This window comes from Homo sapiens, chromosome 3, assembly GCF_000001405.40.
Source record: "Homo sapiens chromosome 3, GRCh38.p14 Primary Assembly".
In the NCBI taxonomy this organism is placed as follows: domain Eukaryota; kingdom Metazoa; phylum Chordata; class Mammalia; order Primates; family Hominidae; genus Homo; species Homo sapiens.
Window position 1 is genome coordinate 6,552,130 of NC_000003.12, and position 22,306 is coordinate 6,574,435.

General features: G+C 35.9%; 1 long non-coding RNA gene across 19 annotated transcripts in view, besides 2 other annotated features; it reads left to right on the plus strand.

Annotated features, from left to right (window-relative positions):
* Positions 1–22,306, plus strand: part of LOC105376944 (uncharacterized) — a 246,298-nt gene that overhangs the window by 61,688 nt on the left and 162,304 nt on the right. The gene's annotated exons all lie outside the window — the stretch shown is intronic.
* Positions 12,354–12,523: an enhancer, noted in NCBI's record as "experimental_70950 CRE fragment used in MPRA reporter constructs". NCBI's record gives its function as "activates a minimal promoter by MPRAs in K562 erythroleukemia cells, with activity observed for the non-introgressed 3:6606255 variant allele {active_cell/tissue: K562}" and the evidence as "EXISTENCE:reporter gene assay evidence [ECO:0000049][PMID:34662402]".
* Positions 19,079–19,279: a silencer, noted in NCBI's record as "peak4528 fragment used in MPRA reporter construct". NCBI's record gives its function as "represses an SCP1 promoter by STARR-seq MPRAs in K562 erythroleukemia cells {active_cell/tissue: K562}" and the evidence as "EXISTENCE:reporter gene assay evidence [ECO:0000049][PMID:32103011]".

A 22,306-nucleotide genomic window follows, 5' to 3' on the forward strand; every position in this document is an offset into this window, starting at 1 on the left:
GGGGCTGAGTGCGGTGGCTCACGCATATAATCCCAGCACTTTGGGAGTCCAAGGCAGGTGGATCATTTGAGGTAAGGAATTTAAGACCAGCATGGCCAACATGGTAAAATCCCGTCTCTACTAAAAATACAAAAATTAGCTGGGCATGGTGGCATGCGCCTGTAATCTCAGTTACTCAGGAGTCTGAGGCAGGAGAATTGCTTGAGCCTGGGAGGTGGAGGTTGTGGTGAGTCAAGATCACGCCACTGCACTCCAGTCTGGGTGACAGAGTGAGACCCTGTCTCAAAAAAAAAAAAAAAAAAAAAGAAAGAAAGAATAAGAAAATAGTTTTAAGCTTGAGTAATGAAGTCTTAATGAATTATATGTGACTTAAGTTATTTGAGTTTTCTTCACAGAGGACATTGGCTTATTTCTTGTGTTATATAGAACAAAGTTCAAATTCTATGAAGTGATCCCTCAAACCCCCTAATATCTGGTCCCAATAATTAACCAGTTATTTTGTTGTTCTGATACATCTTCTGCTTTTGTCAAACTGGCTTATTTGTTTCTTGAATCGTATCTTTGGGTTTTCCCAACTTTGTGAAACTGGCTTATTTGTTTCTGGAATCTTATCTTTGGGTTTGTCCAACTCTGTGACTTTCTATATTCTGAACCTTTCCGTGAATTTATTGCCTCCATTATCTTGTACTTTCTAATTTAATTCAACTGCTCGTTTTTCATGTGACTATTTTCCAACCAAAACATAAATTAATTTTACAAAATTATTTTATTGTTTAGTTTTGTCACAATCAGTTATGCAATAAATGCTGTACAGTGGACACTTCATGAAAATATTTTGAATATTGGGTTGCTTCATGAGGGCTATCCAGATGATAAAGCTGGTAATAGCTCTCATCTGTGATATATATGGTAAACATGTTTTTACCAACCTGTGTGGTAGGAGTTATTAAGAAATTATTTTAGGCAGATAGAGAGGAAAAGGGGTCCTTGGGAAGCTTTTGTTTTTTAAAGCATCTCCAGAAAAGTTTCTTGTAAAGCCCAGGCTCTTAGATCCAGGCAGGCAAACTTTGGTATGCAAATACCAGCCATTAGAAACTGGGTCCACCCAACATGGCTATTAGGAGGCCTTCTTGCCCTTGCCCAGCATGTTCCTGGCAACATGGCCACCCCCACATATCCCCATGTGTGTAGAACATCATGGCACCCCACATTTGCAGATTAAAAGAGTAGGGTGGGAGGGCCAGCTCTTTTGCGGGCTACATGAATGACATGCCTAGTCAAACCAATCCCCTGAGCCCTATGCAAATCAAACACTGCTTCCTCTAGCCTCTGCATGTATACCTGGCTGGTGTCCCTGGCAGGTGGGGACCTCATCTTTCAGCTTCGGAGCCCCCTTCCCTCTGTGTCTGTACAGGGGAGCTTCTTCTTTCTTCCTTCTCCCTTCCTTCTTGCCTGTTAAACTTTCCACTCCTTAAAACCACTCCGTGTGTGTCCCTGTCATTTTACCTAAACCGGCATGAGGACCAGGAACCCTGGTGTTCCTCCACTCATTGGAGCCATATCACCTGGACTATCCTGCAGTTAAAACATAATTAAGCTAGAATCAGTCTTTGTCATTAAGCTTAACTTATATAAATATCTGTCTGCTGAGTTTTATATTTTTAATTAAAATTAAGATTTAATATAATGTTGGTAACTTTGAGGTGATAAAACATCTGTGAAGGTGGTGGCAGTTCTGCAGTTGATCTGCATAAGATTTACTGTTTCTGAGATGAGAAATAATTACAATATTTCCCGAAAATAAGTCTGTTTGTCCATTTAAAACCAAAAACCATATCAAAATGAATAGAAAAGGTCAATCTTGTTAAATTGAGCACAGTCCAAATGAGCTAAATTTCATTTTCTACCACACTCATTCTTCTTTAATGAGCAGAAAAATGAAAATGTATTTTTTTTTGCTTCTTAATGGAGCATGAAGAAAGAAAGGGAGAAAAAACTCAGAGGCATTTGTTTTCCTATGAATCCGTTGAGATAAGATGATCCATCTCATAAGATGATCCATCTCTGACCTAAGCTACTCCACTAATCGGGGGTGGGGAGTTTGGGAGAAGATCAGTGCCTTTTTTGAGTTATTTTTAAATGATTTACATTTTATTGAATTCTGATTTCAGAAGGTCACTTTGTTTTTGTTGACTTGGATTCTGTATCTCTAAGGAGAATTTAAAGTATTATAGTAATTTGAGATGATTTCCTAAATAATTTAAGTTAAAGCACTAGCTGTTGAAAACAGTATCAAGTTAAGGTAACTGATAACTGTCTGATCCTTGCATTTGAAGATAAACTTTAATAGAGTGTGAGTGTGTGTTGTGTGTGTACATAGTCATCATAAATCTGTGTGATACTCTGTAGCTTTTATTCTTGTAAATCTCTTAAAATGGATGCCATTGTAAATTGCTTTAAGAAATGGTAAACACAAACTTGAAGTTAGGATTTAAAATGTATCATATCAGGGCACAGTGATAAAAATGCCCTAGTAAAGTTCAGTATATGAAGTGGGCAATAGAGGAAGCTAATCCTAGATTGCAAGCTGGACTGCATCATGAAAAGTATAGATGCAAGAAGGACAAATTTTAGTTTTTAGAGGGTTGTGAATTATTAGAGTTGGTAGGAAAGGACAGCGATGTAATTGAATACTTATTTTAGCACAATTAATCTGAGGGTGACCTAGAGAATAACGTGGTATGAAAGCGCTGGGGATGCACATAACAGCAGATAAGTTCTCAGTGTGATCTAGCAAAGATGAGCTCTCAGCATGATCTAACAATGGTAGGAAGAGGAATGACTGAACTAAACAACATTTAGAAGAAAGACATGAAGTCTTGGCTATTACTTCATGTTGAAAATAAGGAAGCCCACAAACAATTTGGGCATGACTGATTTTTCTATAGCTGCAGTGATGAGTAAACTGCCAAGCAAACAACTTGTTCAATCGATCATGCCCATCAGGCAACAGCACAAAACACACTGATAAAGTCAACATGCATTTTCTTCCACACTTTCACATCTGTTAGCAACCCAACTGCAAACAAATTCTTCTACCAGATTCCATAGTAGATCATCAGTTTGCTCTGCCAAATGAAACAATTCCTGGTCACCATAGTTCACCTTTGTTTCAGCAATAAGCCTTTTTGGTTTCAAATTCTGAGTGGTGAACTCTTTCTTTGGTAATGGTTTCTACATTTTATCAATGCCTTGACATTCTGTCATGTTTCTTTGCATTTAATTATTAAACTTCTCAAAACAATGTTTTGTAGTCGATGCCTTTATTTTCTTAGTATCTGTTTCCTCCTCATTTGTATACAGTGGAGCTGCCTAACACAATCTAAACATTTAATTCTTGATGAATGATATTCAAAATTTTTTTAATTAACTTGAACCTACTTTTCACCAACTTGAACTCTCATTACACACTTTATTCAAGTTAAACTAGACTATTCTTCCCTATTTTAAGATGCTACATGGAGTAGCTCTTGCATGTTTTTTACCAGCATTCTTCTCTCCTAGAATGTCCTCCTCCTAGTTTCCACATAAATTCGGTCTATCTCACCTCCTACCTGTTCCTTGAGGCAGCCTCTGACTCCAGATTTAAACAACTCCTTACTCCTAATAACACTTGTATTAGTTTTCATGGGTTGCCGTAACAAAATACCACAGACTGGTGGCTTCAACATCATAAATTTATATTCTCACAGTTCTGGAAGTGAGACATCCAAGATCAAAGAGCCGGCAGAGTTGGTTTCCTTCTAGGTTTCTTTCCTTGGCTTGCAGATGGCGTCCCTCTTGCTGCTTCTTCACAAGGTAGTCCCTCTGTGCATATGTACCCCAGGTGTCTCTCTCTATGTCCTAATCTCTTCTTATAAGGACCCAGTGATGTTGGATTAGGGCCCACACTAATGGCCTCATTTTAAGCTCATTACCTCTTTAAAGGACTTACCTCCAAATACAGCTACATGCTAAGACACTGGGTATTGGAGCTTCGAACACATACACTTTAGCATGGTGGGGAGAATGTTATTCAGCCCAGGAAAACAGTTATATAAAATCACTGGTTCCCTGAGCTTGTGATTTAATAGACAAACACAGTTTGCCAAAAGCAGACCCCTCTCACACACAAATAAAAATATGAAGGTCACTTAATGTTGCTAACATTCTTTTAAACATAATTTCTGATGAACAAATCATCTAATAATGCCATCATTTTATAACCTGCATTACAGCATCATAATTATCATGGAAAGCATGAAATAAATTGAACTTTATGAAAACCTAACTACATTGTTCTTATTTTTGTCATTCTGCTATAGACCAGTGAGAACTTTATCATAAACCAGCTCTAGTCACTGGTTATCATCTGGGAAGCACCAATGCATAATAGTCATTTTTAATAATCACCTATGATACACTTATTTATAATACTCCTGTATTTTTATATATGTATATACAGTTGACCCTTGAACAACACAGGTTTGAACCATGTAAGAACACTTGCATGTGGATTTTTTTCAATACAAGTTACACTAAGTGTGCCTGGCTCTCCTGCCTCCCTTTCTATCTCCTCTACCTCTTCCACTTTTGTCACCCTGAGACAGCAAAAACAGCTCTTCCTCTTCCTTCCCCTTCTCAGCTCCTCAATGTGAGGAAGATGAGGATGACGATCTTTATGATGATACACTTCCACTCAATGCATAGTAAATAATTTTCTCTTCATGATTTTTAAAATAATATTTCCTTTTCTATAGCTAACATTATTGTAAGAATACAATATGTAATATATACAGCATACATAATGTGTATTAATCAATGGTTTATGTTATCGGTAAGGCTTCTGGTCAAAAGGAAGCTATTAGTAGTTAAGTTTGTGGGTAGTCAAAATTTTATACACAAATTTTCTACTGCATACAGGTTCAGAGCCCCTAGCCCCTGCATTGTTCAGGAGTCAACTGTAGATATGTATATTTCTGTCTATATATTTGTGTCTCTGGGGTCATTGAGTTGTCACTTGCTTCCAAAATTCATAATCGGTCCTAGTAACTACAGATCTAAAGCAAAATTTGGGGTACTTCCTGGGGATCTCCTTTTCTGTCATCTTTGACACCCTTTCTGAAGTTTTTAATATCCTCCATTTCTAATGTTTGAAACTGAGAGGCAAAGCTGGAATGCTCGTTTTTGAACATTCCCTACCTCTGTCTTCTGTCAGTCTCTCTTTCTCATCATTCCCTCTGAGGCTCTACCTGACATCTTCCTAGGTGATATTTTCCTTCCTATTCATGGGATAAATATGATATCAGAACTTCAAGGAATAAAATCACATCACTGGTGAAAGAAAATGGGTTGAGAGGTGTTATTAAAACATTATGTTCTTCATTTTTTAAATTGTTAATTATTTTATCTTCACAGAGGGATTACTTTCCTCACTTTGTTATATATCCTGGAAGCTATGAACAATGATGCTTCTTCATACTCTTCAACCTCATCATGATACCTTGCACGAAGCAGGAGCTCAACTAATTTGGGTTGAGGCCAGAATGCCAATAGTGAGCAAAAAAGGATGATATTTGACACTTGGCATTGAATATCTGAATCATGATGTCCACATAACTACAGCTATGCACCACATAATGATGTTTTACTCAACAACAGACCACATATACAATGGTGGTTTCATAAGGCTATAAAGGAGCTGAAAATTTCTTACCACCTCATGTCCTCATGTCATAGTGCAACATATTGCTCTTGTGTTTGCAGTGATGCTGGCATAAACAAACCCACTGTGCTTTCAGTTGTATAAAACTGTAGCCCATACAATCATGTACAGTACATAATACTCAATGATGATAAACTAAATGACTATGTTACTGGTTTATGTATTTACTATACTATACTTTCTGTCATTATTTTAGAGTGTTCTTCCACTCGTTAAAAAAAAAAAAGTGTACTATAAGACAGTTTCGGGCAGGTCCCTCAGGTGGTATTCCAGAAGAACGTATTATTATTATAGGAGATGACAGCTCCATGCATGCTAATCCCGCTAAAGAATTTTCAGTGTGACAAGATATGGTGGTGGAAGACAGTGATATAGATGATGCTGACCCTGTGTAGGCCTAGGGTAATATGTCTGTTTGTGTCTCTGTTTTCCACAAAAAAAGTTTAAAAAGTAAAAAGTAATTAACAGAAAAAAGCTTATAGAATAAGAATATAGGCCAGGTGTGGTGGCTTATGCCTGTAATCCCAGCACTTTGGGAGGCTGAGGCGGGTGGGTCACAAGGTCAAGAGATTGAGCCCATCCTGGCCAACATGATGAAACCCCATCTCTACTAAAAATACAAAAATTAGCTGGGTGTGGTGGCGCATGCCTGTAATCCCAGCTACTCGGGAGGCTGAGGTAGGAGAATCACTTGAACCCGGGAAGTGGAGGTTGCACTGAGCCAAGACTGTGCCATTGCACTCCAGCCTGGGCAACAAGAGTGAAACTCTGCCTCAAAAAAAAAAAAAAAAAAAAAGGAATTAAAAAAAAGAATATAAAGAAGAATATAAAGAAAGAAAAAATATTTGTGTACAGCCGTATGTGTTTATGTTTTAAACTGTCATTACAAAAGTATCAAAAAGTTTTAAAAAGTGTATAAAGCAAAAAGTTACAGTAAGCTAAAATTTATTGTTAAGGAAAGAAAAATATATTTTTAATAAACTTAGTGTAGACTAAGGGTACAGTATTTATAAAGTCTACAGTGGTACACAGTAATGTCACAGGCCTTCATATTCACTCACCACTCACTCACTGACTCACCCAGAGCAAATTCCAGTCCTGCAAGCTTCATTCATGATAAGTGTCCTATACATGCATACCATTTTTCAATCTTTCATATCGTATCTTTACGGTACTTTTTCTATGTGTAGGTATATTTACATATGCAAGTACTTACCACTGTGTTCCAGTTTTCTAAAGTACTCAGTACAGTCACATGCTGTACCAGTTTGTAGCCTAGGAACAACAGGCTGTACCATACAGCAGAGGTGGAGTAGGCTATGTACTCTAGGTTTGTATGAGCACCTTCTATCATGTTCACACAATGATAAAATTGCCTAAAAATTCATTTCCTAGAACATATCCCCATTGTTAAGCAAGGCATGACTGTATTTGGTGACTGGGAAAATAAATTCCTATTTGGAATTTATTTATGCCAAAGAAATGAAATAAATATATGAAAGTTCTTCTAAGCTGTAACTTGCCATTCATAGTTTTATCCCTATGAAAAAGAAAATGAAATAAAGCAAATATCAAGAATCACATTAATGAATCATACTAATTATCTATTTGAACAATAACTTAGTGTTTTATGGTGTACACAACAATTATTTCAAATAAAATGATTTTTTATTTTGCATCCATTTATATTTGGCATATTTTTGACATTTTTCAAGAAGCAAAAATGGTACATTTTCTGTGGACATAGCTTGGGAAGAAAACTTAAGTCCAGTGGCCAGAAAGGAAATAGGTGTTGAGACAAGAATAAAATACCAATGCTTCCTTTTATATTTGTGCATTGAACCTATTTTATTTAATTCTATAAGCCATTTTTCAGATGTCACCAAAGTTTAAACTGCTACTGGGTATAAAATTTAAAATAAATTGCCTTTGGAAAACTCTAAAAACTAAAAACAAAAACAAAAACAAAAAAAAACTAGGTTTGGCTTAGTTGGACCCCAAATGGGTTTTTAAAACATCAGTTGAAAAATAGACTTCTCGTCTTAGTGCTGTTATTGTATGTGTTTTAATAGCTTCTTTTAAAAAATTTCCTCTGGAATAATATTCATTAACTTTCACACTGAATTTTTACAAATTATTATTTTTATTACTTTGGCATGTGTCTATACTTTAGTTAGGATGAGTTGCTATCATCAGTCAGGCTTCTTCAAAGAAACAGAACCAATATAATAAGTGTGTGTGTGTGTGTGTGTGTGTGTACATGTGTGTGTGTGTATATATATACGCATATATAAAGAGATTTATTACAAGGAATTGCTTTAGAAGGATTCTGAAAGCTAGCAAATTAAAAATCTGCAAAGTAGGCTGGAAGGCTAGAGACCCAGGAGAGGCAATACTGCAGCTCTAATGTGAAGACTGTCAGGCTCGAGGCCTAGGATGGCAAATGCCGCAGTTTGAATCTGTAGGCTATCTGCTAGAGAATTCTTTTTTGCGCAGGGGAGCCTGGTCATTTGTTCTATTTAGGCCTTCAACTGATTGGATGAGGCCCACCCACTTTATGGACGGCAACCTGATTTACTTGGTGACCAATTTAAATGTTACCCTCATCTACGAATGCCCTCACAGAAACACCCAGAATAATGTTTGACCAAATATTTGTGCACCCCATGGCTCAGAGAAGCTGACACATAAAATTAAACATAGTAGGTGAGGTATGATTTTACAGGTTCATGTTACATGTCCGCCAAGAAAGCTATGAAAAATTTTATTTTATAGCAGCATGATTCGTGAAGCCAAATGAGATAAAATTATGTTTTTAGTGGTAGTCTTGTTTGGATGAATAAATTCTTTTCTAAGAGAAAGATAGCAATTCTGTTTATTTAGTATGTTACAGTTTACAAGGCACTTTCACATATGTTAGCACTTTTTATCAGTCAGCACCATTCTCTTCAAAGCTTTGGCTGCAGGCCCTGCTACCAAGTTATGGACTGTATCTATCACAAGCAAAGTAAAGTTCGGTGTTGTATTTGTTCTCATGCTGCTAATAAAGACATACCTGAGACTGGGTAATTTGTAAAGGAAAAGGTTTAATTGACTCACAGTTTCACATGGTTGGGAAGGCCTCAAAATCATGGCAGAAAGCAAGGAGTAGGAAAGTCACGTCTTACATGGTGGCACACAAGAGACAGCGTGTGTGCAGGGGAACTCCCCTTTATAAAACCATTGGATTTTATAAGACATATTCACTATCACAAGAATAGCACAGGACAGACCTGAGCCCATGATTCAATTACCTCCCACCGGGTCCCTTCCATGACATGTGGGAATTATGGGAGCTACAATTCAAGATGAGATTTGGGTGGGGACATAGCCAAACCATATCAAAGGTAAAATAATTATGCAAAGAACTTGATAAATATAGAAACCAATGTGAGCAATTTAGCCAAACAAAATCCCATCTTTAATTGATACTTATTCTCTCTCAATTATGTGGGAAAATATCTCAGCTTGACTGTCATTTTGCAGAAGATGGTGATATCTGTATTGGAACATCTTCATATTCAACTTCAAATCTACAACATCTAGAATCACGACTGGAGCATAGTCGTTAAATGAAAGTGTTGTGGATGATAGTGAATCAATTCATGATCATAATAACTCAAGAAATTTATTCTTCATTCCCTTTAAATAAAACCTAAAAATACTAGTTCTAGGTGTGTGTGAATACTTGTGCATTTCTTGCTAAATTGTCAAAGGACTGGCTCCTTCTCCTGTCTTACATTTCATTTCTTTCTTAACCTTTTCCAATTTGGGTTTGACCCAACTACTCTTTTAGAATGACCATTGTTTCCTAATGTCTAATTAAGTGGCTTCCTTTCATTCCCCTTTATTGATCTGCATCTCCACATGTAGACCCTCATATTTACTTCCTTGAGAAATATTTCTAAATGTATGTGTCTAAATCCCTAACGTTGAAGATGACTGAATCAGAAAATATTAACCTTGGCATAAAAGTTTGTTTTCTCTTGTATTCCCCTTTCCAGCAAAGGTGTTGCCATGCATTTATTATTAGCACATTAGAAATATCTCTCTTACTCCCTTCTGAACAATAGCTCAATTTATATCCATCATATTTCAAATCCAGCATCTCTCTGACCAACCTCCCCTATCTCTCTACCTTGCAACATTGATCCTGATTTATACCCTACATTTTTGTGTAAGTCCTTTCCAATGGTCTCTCTGCCTCTGTTTTCTCACTATCAATTTATTTTACATATTCCTTTATGGACATCTTTCTAAAGCATTAAAGGAGTATTAGACTCCTACTCAAAATATTTCACAGCTTTAAAAACAATAAAACTACAGTGTGAGGTGGTGACAAGTTCATAGAAATAGAACGTACAAGTTGTTTTCAATATTGGACATAAAACTGGAACAAATTTGACTTGAGGATGAGTCCCTAAAGTGTTGTCCTTAGAATCCTTAGGTTATGTATGGCTAAGGACACCATGCATCCCAGAGCCTAAGTTAAAACTGATTTACTGTTAAGGGATCAACTCACCTCCACAATGAGGAGCATGAGAATTATGGAACAGGAATAAAGCATGGCATTATATTTACATTGTATGGGCAGATACGCTAGTGATGTGTGCTTATGCTGATTTACCATATTGTAGTATACTGTGAACTCATGTTTAAATATGACAATGTTTAAGCAACACGATCACCCACTTTGCCATATTCCTTCATTTTTCTTGAGTTAACGTGGCTGTTAAATAATTTTATTGACTTTTGGATTATAGTACACATATTATAACCAGATGCTGCTAAAAGTAATTGGCAATTTGTTTTGGCCAAAACTAATTCAATGAAGAATTTATAATCATGAAAATCATTGTGACTTTTCAATGATATTCTTAATTTTGATCCATTCCCCACCTATCAATGGAAATATAGAATATTAACTTCATTTGTTATGTCAGCTATACTTTGTCCTAGAACATGTATTTTTGTTTGTAAACTCTTGCTTCTTACAATCTTTAGGGTCTATTTGGATCATTAAGGAGTTGTCATTTTAGCATACAGAACTCTATTTCTCTCTATCCCACCCATGTCTACCCTCAGTAAAGATTCTTTATGTCAACTGGGTGAAAAACCAGGTGGTGATTCTCCAGTACTTTTGCTGCTAGAGGAAGAAATGCAAGTTAAAGAGCAGCAATACTGCCTGGCCCTGAACCTTCAGGGCTTAAATAAAGAGCCTAGAATATCGTCTCAGCTACAGTAAGCCATTCTTACATTAAAACTAGCTCTTTAGATTTTAAGCAGTCTGATGTAGCCTCATTTTCTAACATTTAGAAGCTTAAGTGTCTTATTTTTTACCAAATACAGTATAGAATGTCAACAAGCTAAACACCAGATCAGTGCAGAAATAATATGGAATGGCAACCAAGAAAAAGGAAAAATGAAAGTTTGTCAGGAGGCACTACAGTTGTCCCCCAAGTTTATTATTGCAATTGATCACATTTATGAAAATAACAGTTATAATGCAAGGAAGATGGTTACAGTATAATGTAAAGAATTCGCTCCATATACCACTTGACAACTTTATTTCCCCTACAAACTGGTGTTATGGTACATATAAGTTATTCTGTGACAGGATACCACTGGTGGATTATGTTGCCATATGTTATTTGTTATAAAAATCACAATGATGTTACAGGCCATTTATTGAAATATCTAAACACAACTGGGAAAAATGACTTTCTGTGCTAGACCAGCTGTATTTTCCATACTCATTTTGGCCATTGCTTCTCATTATCAGGTTTCTGGGAAGATCATTCTCTAGCTGACAGGCTTTCAGAACTGGAATTTGGGGGAATAAAACGAGGTAACAAATGACTATATTTAAATGTTGGAGCACAGAGTCCATTCTCTATTTCACATGGTAAATTTTCTCTTTCAGTGAAAAGGTTTATCTGGCCCGGCACGGTGGCTCACACCTGTAATCCCAGAACTTTGGGAGGCCAAGGCGGGCAGATCCTCTGAGGTCAGGAGTTCGAGACCAGCCTGGCCAACATGGTGAAACCCCGTCTCTACTAAAAATACAAAAATTAGCTAGGTGCAGTGGTATGCACCTGTAATCCCAGCTAATCAGGGGGCTAAGGCAGGAGAATTGCTTGAACCCAGGGTTGGGCGGAGGTTACAATGAGCTGAGATCACACCACTGCACTCCAGCCTGGGCAACGGAGGGAGACTGTGTCTCAAAAAAATTAAGAAAGAAAAGAAAGAAGGAAGGAAGGAAGGAAAGAAGGAAGGAAGGAAGGGAGGAAGGGAGGGAGGGAGGGAGGGATTCTCTGGCCTTGAATTGCTTCTTTGTTCCTGATCTATTAGAAACTTTGAGAGTAGCTATTTAGACTTCATAATGTAAGCATCATAAACACTACTCCTCATTGATGCTGAAAACCATTACTAAATTTTTGAGTTCTTATTACATTCACTTTTGTATATTTTCTTATTTAATTTTTGTAACAATCAGATAAGCAAAGAGAAGCACAGAGACTTAGCCACAATCCCAGTGAGTGGTATCAGAGCCCGGTACATTTAAATTCAATGATTTCTTGTTGAACTACTTCCATTCTTTTTGGTTACTCCAAATAGCCAGGACTAGCCCCTGTATAAGATTATCTATCAGAGGTTGTTAAGCCTGATACCTTGTTATGCTGAGGTCTTTTCCCCTTGAGAAGAGGACTTAACAATGGATTGGCCACAGGTGACAAGGGAAACAATTCAGCAAATGTAAATCACCAGTGGTATATCTGGCAGCACAGAGTGAGCAACCACATGGTCCCAAGACTTCTTCCAGTAATGGCATTTCATATGGGTGTCCCGTAAATAAACAAGATTATGGAAGCCAGTAAGGGACCAACCAAACCTAGAGCACAGAAGCATGTAAGAACAGGTGTTTATTAACATTTTACGGCCGGGCACAGTGGCTCACGCCTGTAATCCCAGCACTCTGGGAGGCCAAGGCACGCGGATCATGAGGTCAGGAGATCGAGACCATCCTGGCTAACCGGTGAAATCCCGTCTCTACTAAAAATACAAAAAATTAGCCGGGTGCGGTGGCGGGCGCCTGTAGTCCCAGCTACTCGGGAGGCTGAGGCAGGAGAACGGTGTGAACCCCGGAGGCGGAGCTTGCAGTGAGCCGAGATCGCGCCACTGCAGTCAGGCCTGGGCGAAAGAGTGAGACTCCGTTTCAAAAAAAAAAAAAAAACCATTTTATGCCATCCATATATCCAGCCAACTTCAGATTTAGTTCTGGTGTTCAAACGTCTCATTTTTATAGAAAAGTTTAATCCTGATGCATATTCATCCTTCACAATCTACCCCGAGCCTCTTAATTCTATTTCCTTCTTTGATATTCAACCTATCTGTTTTCTGCAAGTCTATGCAGCTTACAGTAACATATTGTTACATATAATCAAAGATTGCCATATGTGTTGTACATCTATGTATATATGACAGAAATCTAGAGACATAAAGCCTAAAAAAGTGCTTTGAGAAAAATTTACCATTTGAATTTTTAAACTATAGGTGTCATACAGACTCTTACTGATATTTTGGGTAGTTTGGAAAAAGCAGGCAGAAATGAGGACACACAAAAATAAAATTGAAGCCAAAGAAGAGAAGAAATTCATACTGGATAAGAGAAATTCTATTTCATTTTGATGAAGTGTTTTCGAAGGCCTAGAGAGACTTTTTTTCTAACCTCCCATGTTATATTTATCTCGTGTGCTTCTGAGGTAACTAAGAAAAAGAAGATAAGAGGAGAGAACGGAGAAATAGATTTTCTTTTCCTCTTGAAGCCTGTTTCTTGGTACATATAAATGTAACACAATAGCCGCAAGAATCATCACACTTTAAGGGCAAGTGGATTTTAAAGGACCAAATAAATAGCTTTTTTCCTAAGCTGTATTTCCATCTCATCAACAGTAAAATGGTTTCTAAAATGAGGTGTTAAAAAATAAAAATTAAAACATTGCCAGATGCTTTTGAGAATGCATACTATTGTGATTTGAGACCTCATAGGACTTAAAATATGCCTTTTTAAAAATTATTCTTTTGCTGTGAGAGTTTGTAGCTTAAATAATTCAGAGTATATATTTCATTTTACATGGCAAAAATGACATGCGTTTTGATGATCAGAATTCTATAGTAAGTCAGATAACACACAATATAAAATTACTTAATGCAACACTGCTGCTTATCAACCCCTCCACCTTTTGTTCATCTCTCCATCCAGCAATCACTGGGTAAGTCTCTTCCAGGACTGATATTTTGCTCAATGCTGGGGATATCATAATGAATAATATTTTCCCATTTTCTAGAAAGCTGATGTTTTAATAGGAGGTGATTACTGGGGTTAGGAAAGTGAATATTTTGTCTTTGATAGATCCTAGGGATTATATCTCTGTGGAGAGTGACCCTTTTCTTTGCCAAATAAATCTAGGCCCAGCCCAACCTCTATGAAGTTCTTTTTCCCTTGATTACCTGGAATTAATATGCTTGTCCTGATTTTCATAGACCACAGTAATATATATTCAAGTCTCTTGCTCACCTACTATAACTTTGAAATTTTTTTAGCAAAAATTTTACCTTGAAATTATCTCAAAACCCAACTTGTCCTCAAGTTGCTGAAATAAAGGTAGCAAAAAAGAAATTATACAGCGAATCTATCAGACCTCCATTTTAATTCTTAGAGTTAAATTTTGACATAATTCCTTCCCAAAATTTAGTAGCATTTTTTTCTTTCTTTCATTTTGGTATTCGGATAGCCTATGTATCTCAAAATGAATTTATATTAGAAACTGGAAACTTGGCAAGTCATTAGCAAGAAAACTTTTACCAAGGTTGTTATTTTTCGGGGAAAAATTATAAGCAGGCAAAAAATAGTTTAATCAACTAAACTTGAAATGTAAAATACCTTTAGAAATATTTTTGTGTCTGTGTATCTAAATAAAACTCAAAAACTCTTTGAGAGGCCAGGCATGGTGGCTCACGCCTGTAATCCCAGCACTTTGGGAGGCCGAGGCAGGCAGATCACCTGAGGTCGGGAGTTTGAGACCAGCTTGACCAACGTGGAGAAACCCCGTCTCAACCAAAAATACAAAATTACCCAGGCATGGTGGTGCATGCCTGTATTCCTAGCTACTTGGGAGGCTGAGGCAGGAGAATTGCTTGAACCTGGGAGGTGGAGGTTGCGGTGAACCGTGATCGTGCCATTGCGCTCCAGCCTGGGCAACGAGTGAAAACTCCGGAAAAAAAAAAAAAACTCTTTGAGAAAGTAATAATTATAAACTTAATAGTCTAGGAGAAAATGTTCCAGTTTATTTGATTCTGCTATGTTGTTTTAACCCCAATATGGTGTATTATGGTAGTTTGAAAAATTCTAAGCTTTTAATATTGTTTAAACATCTGCTTTTGAGGAAATGTATTTTTTTTCCTGGATATGATACATATAAAATATCCTATCTGGGCTGAGTGCCAGGAAGCTACCATGCTTAAGTAATAAACCCAATTATCTTGCTAATAAACAGCAACTAGAAATTGAACTCCTGTTGGCAGATATATAGGATACTTAAACACTAAGTGGGATTAATTAAACTCTTAAAGGAGTTACATTACAAACAAATATAATGATAAATCTTTATACAAATATAAGTATAGTAATTATCTCATTTTCTCCTCTTTTTAGCTAATAAAGTTTATGCTTTTGAATTATCATGAGAAAAAGGCTTCAGAAATAATGAAGTGCTTACCCCCAAGGATCTTCTGATATATAAATGTCAGGTTCCCAACTGACAAAAGATGAATGTGATGATAGATATTGTGGTCCCAATGCCAAGGGATATGACTGTGATATTCTCAAATATGGTGTAGATGTTAGGAAAATATTGATACTATAATGTGTCAAGCAGAGTGTTTTTGGGGGCTAAAGTGAATAGTAGTTGAGATGATTCAGGTCAAACATAAGTACGTAAGAATGAATTTATGGTCAATGTAATAGATTTACTTAGAAAAGTATTATAGACTTTTGTACAATTTATTTTCTAATTATTTCAAAGCAATTACCCAAAGGCAAAGTTGTCTATATGAAAAAAAATTTTTTTTGTTACAAGCGGCAACCTGTTTTGTTTGAGGTCATTTCAGAATTTTGCCTGAGTTTATTGCATTCAAAAGGGAGTCGTAATTTCTAAGAACAAATAGTGTACAAAATTAGGGCCTCTACTCTTCTTTCTTCAAAAATGTGTAATGAGATGAGAGGAGTGAGATAACCTCACGCCTACCATTACAAACAAACCTACACACAACCAATAAACAAACACAAGAAAGAGAAGCAACAAAGCTGGAAGTAAGATATTACCTTATGTCAGACATTTCAAAAAAGTTAACTAAGGAAATAAAGATAATTTCAGGGCAACAATGTGTTATATTTAGTCATGACATTATATTCTGCATCTGTTTTGATGAGTTGCAAAATCCTGTGAATTCTAATATCCTTAAATCTCAAGAGAGAAAAATATTATTCCCTTCCTTTCTATTATATAGAGCATGGGGGTATAGTTTGAACTACTGATGGGGAGATAAGCATGAAGATAGATGTCAATAAAAGAATCCGAATGTCTCAGATGAAGACCTAAGCTCCAAGTCAGTCTCAGCTTTGGTGGTGATGATGTCAGGCAGAGTGGGTTTTCTGTACCAAGGGCAGAGTTATAGTCAGCCAAAGCAAATGTTAGAGGTTATCTAATTGATCAGAAAAGATGACAGAGATATGGTATTCCCACTAACAATGCCCAAGGTGCCAGCTGAGTTTTTAACTTTCCTTAATCCCTTATTTGTCCCACATACTACAGAAGAGATTGCAATTCTCAAGTATTAAATTACAACCCAGAGAAGGCAAGGGCCATGTAAATTATAAAAGTAATAAATAAAATTAATCTGATTTATATCAGAAGAGATACAAAATCTGGACAAAGCTATCCATGTTAGGTAAGAAGAAATAAAGGATCACAGAAACAAGATCAATATGATATGGCTAAGGGGTAGGGCAGCGATAACAGAAGAGGGTGCCAAAACCATGAAGCCTTCAGCCTACAATAAAGTAAAGCCTAAAGAGTTAGAAAACGTTCTTCTGAGTGTTTTACGCTGAGGTGAAACTTCAGTAGTAGGCATTTTCAACTTGAATAAAAGGTATTTTCTGTAAAATGATAAAATGAGATGAGATGACATCATAGTTAATACAATGATTGTTGTGTGTGGTTTTTTTTTTTTTTTGGCAGCTTAGATATATTCACTTATTATACTTTATCTTCACAGCATCCCTATAAGGTAGGTTTCATTCCCATCTTACAGATTAGAAAACTGAGTCACAAAGAGCTTTAGCATGATACACAAAGCCTTGCAATAAGTAAGTGTTGGAGTTGGAATTTAAGTGTAAGCACTGTAGCCCCAGAGTATGTGCTTTTAGATGCTATGATATAATGTCCATTAATACAAAATCACATGAAAAAGGTATATTGCAGATGTAAGAAAATAAGTGATAAGTAAAAGAAGTAATGCATAAAATTAGAAGTGCAAGAAATAGAAGCTAATAAACCCGAAGCTAAAGGGTAAAATATAAAGATTAAGATAAATATGACTAAAATAGTTTCAATTCTCTTCCTGCATTGCAAACGCCCCTCAAAGGACTTAAAACTAGGATCATTTGGTTTCTGCAGGACAGTTGTTCAGGCAGGACTCACTGATTATGAGCTCTCTGTTGCATAGTATCAGATGCGAAAGTTCAAAGGGGAATGAAGGATCCAAAGTGTTGTAATTTACATGTGTTTGTTCTTGATGGCTTCTTTGTGACCTCTCTCTTCACATGATTTCTTATAATTAAATAATTTGGTGATTAGATTTAAACAGAGTGAAAACATGCTTAAAGCTGAGGTCTAGTATTAACTTCTGCCATATTTTCTTTTTTAAAAAATTTACATATTTGTTTTAATAGGAAAAACATATAGACCATTTAAATATTAATCATAAAAGAATGTCCAAACATTTAACAATTCTATAGCATATATCACACAATAATTATAAAGAAATTAAAATTTTGTACATTTACATTTCATAGAATTACCAGTAAACCTGAGATTATTTCAATAATTTACTCTTTCCCTATACTTTGACTAAGGTTCTGTAGGTCTCTTTACTTGACTTACTTTGAACTAAATGGTTTAGTATTTCGTTGCTCCCTGTATAAATTCATTAGTTACAATCATATGAAAATCTTTGGATACACTATTAAATCATAAATTCTTTCTTTAATATAGTCTAATATGCAATTACTTTTAACACCTCTCCCACACTACTAATACCTTAAAATTTTATTTTAATCTTTCCTGACTTTTGTCTTACTGTTGTCACGCACTTTAATTTTACATATATTTTAATCTCCATAAGACATTTCTAAAATCGCTTCATAAAACAATATTTATTTATCTTTATCTTTATCTTATCTTTTCTACTGCCTTTCATTCCTTCCTGCATTTTCAGTTTCAATATGGGATTATTGTCCCTTGGAAAGAACTTGTCACAGTATTTTTTTTTTTTTCCTTTTTGATGGAGTCTCGCTCTGTCGCTCAGGCTGGAGTGCAGTGGCGTGATCTCGCTCACTGCAAGCTCCTCTCTCGGGTTCACACCATTCTCCTGCCTCAGCCTCCCGAGTAGCTGGGACTACAGGCACCCGCCACCATGCCCAGCTAATTTTTTTTATTTTCAGTAGAGACGGGGTTTCACCATGTTAGCCAGGATGGTCTCGATCTCCTGACCTCGTGATCTGCCCACCTCGGCCTCCCAAAGTGCTGGGATTACAGGCGTGAGCCACCGCTCCCAGCCGAACTCGTCACAGTATTTTTAAACAACTCACGGTAATTCTAATTCAGACTGCTAACAGTGAAATAGTTCAGTTTCAGTTTTTCTTAACACAACTTTATTAATTTGCTCAAAGCTAAGCACAAAGTTTAGACCATATTGAAGAAGAAAAGAAATAGACACCACCTCTTGATAGAAGGAGTGGCAAAGTTGCATTGTAAACAGGCATGCAGGATGGAAAGAATTGCATGGACATCTTTGAAAAAACTCAACAAATAAAGAGTATTCTACAACTCTTTATTTTTCAGACTCACTGTGTTGATCATTTTATATGTATTCATTTATTCGATCCTCCCAATAACCTAACAGATACTATTGTAATGTCAATTTCCATTTTGCACACGAAGGACTTGAAGAACATAGGACTTTATTTAATGTCTAAAAAACACACAACTAGTAGATGATGGTGCCATATGTCAAAGTCAGGCCTCCTGGCTTCAGTCTCCACTAGTAATCTGTCTCATTGCTCCCTCATTTCAGAAGGTTCTTCCTGAAATTCAGAAGGAACGGAATCTGCACATTGAGAAGGAACACCAAGTCCAGGAATGATTCATCTATGCAATGGCTAGTGAGATGTACCTTTGTAAGATCGTTTAGCTTAAAGGTAAAAAAGGGAGATTTTTAGCCATCTGGACAACAAAAGCAAACCAACCATAAGAAGAAACATGAGGTTGAGTTAAGAAATGTTCAGATCAGTGTTCCATGCTAGAGGACTAGGGAGCAATGTCAACAGTACTCATGCAATAGAAAGGACAGTGTGTAAACAGCCAGCCGAGGTGTTTTGGGGACAAACAAATGGTCAAACCTCAAGGTATACCGGAAGTGCTATGCCCATGAGTTTTTGTGGGGGAGGGGAAGAAAAGAAAAGAAACTCAGTAAGGAAAATCAGCCATATAAATACAAATGAAAATGGACCTCAGAAAATGGAGAACTTAGTTTTTGTGTTCAAATGAACATTAAAGATCTGTATACCATCTATAGAAATATAACAGAACGAATTTTGTGCAGGAATGTTTCAAGGCAAATATTAAGTAATAAACATAAGTTTTGGAGATTAAAAATAAGTGGAAGTTGATAATATAAGAGGAAGTCTTGTTGTGTTTTTGGTGCAGGGATCTTGCCAAGCCAGTAGCCATCATAGGTTTTGTTTGTTTGGCTTCCGTTGCTGTAGCAAGGGTTACATTATTTGGGAAAAATTACTTCCTGGGTATATCACAAAAAAGCAGAAGTGATGTGTGAAGGAGAAGTAATAAATATTTTTAAAATATTTTTTAGATTCTATATTGAACTTTATTTACATTAAATAATCTTTTCACAATAGTACTGCAAGGCAAATATCAATAATAATCTCAGTAGGTATATAATTATGTTTAATGAAATATTATGATTTTTTCTCAAATTTTTTTGTTAACTTTAAGAGAGCATTTAACATCCAAAGAGACAGCTTATAATGTCTCCCAAAATTTTCCTATAACTTGAAATCTATATGGTTTTATGTTTTAACTTTCAAACTTTATTTCATCTGCATAAGTTTTGATAGCATATAGAAGGAAATCAGATGTGTGTGTGTGTGTGTGTGTGTGTGTGTGTGTGTGTACATGCACATTTTTGCTTGGATAAACAATTATTCATTTACTACATATTGAATAGTTATTCTTTCCTCATGGGTTGAAAAGTTAGTTTGTGTTTTATAAGATTATTCTGATAGACAGCTAACTAGCTAGTTAGCTGGATAAATAGAATCATTCTATTTTTCTCTTTTACTGAGCTCCATGTCTGTGGATCTAAGCTATTTCACTCTCAGCTACTGTATGGGTTTTTATTACTTCATTGGTCATGTCATACATTCTTTTTTAATATTCTTTGCTATTCTTATACATGAATTTCTTTTTTAGAAATTAACTTGAAATTGAATTTGCCAAATTTTCCTCTATATAATCTTATTGAGATTTTGACCAAAAGATCATTTAATTTATAAATAAATTTGAAAAGTAATGACATCTCTACAATATTAAAACTGCTGTTTTGGATTATTTTATGACTATAAACAATTACTTATTTTTTGCTTCATATTGTTTTGACTATTTTGTGATTTAGTCCTGTATATTTTGAAGTTCTTTTTGGTATTTGAATCATAGTTTTTTCTAATACATCAACTTTCATATTTTACTGTTGCTCTATAGAAAAGATACTACTTTTTTGGGGTGGCGGGGGACGGAGTTTCGCTCTTGTTGCCCAGGCTGGAGTGCAATGGCACAATCTTGGCTCATTACAACCTCCACCTGCCGGGTTCAAACAACTCTCCTGCCTCAGCCTCCCGAGTAGCTGGGATTATAGGCATGCACCACCATGCTTGGTTGATTTTGTATTTTTAGTTGAGACAAAGTTTCTCCATGTTGGTCATGCTGGTCTCGAACTCCCGACTTCAGGTGATCCACCCACCCCAGCCTCCCAAAGTACTGGGATTACAGGTGTGAGCCACCGAGCCCAGCCAAGATATTACTTTTTTAAATGGCTTTTCAAAACAGATAGCTTACTATATTCTGATCAACATTAATGTACTCTTCAATTATTCTCATGGAGTTAATGTAGCTAATTTGAAAATACTTTTATGTTCTTTTATTATGCATACTATTTATTATTCTTCAGTTTTGCAGTTGATAAACATGCCATAATAATATTGTATAAAAATAATAATAGGAGCTATGCTCACCACTTTTAGATTAATGTTTTTCATTGAAATTGATATATTCTATTGGTTTTGCATGAATAGTTTTAATTACAAACAGTTTTATTCTGTATTTAGTCAAATCAGTAATAAATGCTAAATTTTATAAAGTACTCCTTTTTAAAAGAAAATGTTAGATGTCTTTCTTCCTTTTGTTTAGTAACATAGCATGTATTAAATTCTAAATATGTTCTCAAATTTGCATTTCTGGGACAAATCCTGTTTTTGTAAGGCATTTTATTCTTTGTTTAGCATTCTTTTTTTTATTGTGTTTATATATGGTTTTCACTAATGCTCCTAGATTAAACCAATATATTGTTTTCTTTTAGCACAATATTTGCCAGACTGTGATGTACTTTTCTAAGACTTAAAGTATGATTTGAGATGTTTTCTATTTTTTAATATAAACTTAGCCACAAGGCTTATTCAAATATCTCTAATAATTTGAAGGGGCATGTCTACCAAACATAAAATGAATCCAAGAAAAAAGATAGCATGTGGATACAGAAAAAGGCATTAGCTATATTCAAAAAAGGAAGATTGCCAGTTTCAGCAGCAACATTCACAGTTTGGAAGCCACCATTCCCATCTTTATAAGAAAAGAAAAACTTAACAAACTGAACATGAATAATTTTCTTTAGATTCTACAGAGAATTAATGTCACAGAGCAAACCACCATTCTGAAGTCTAGAGAAGTGGGTAACAATGGATAATATCAAACCCGGGATAAACTTACCCAGAGCAGAAGCCATTGAACAATTAAACAGTAATTGTCAGATTAATGGAGACTGAACATGGGCTAGATCAAAAGTTAAAAACATCTGGAAACACAGTCTTTA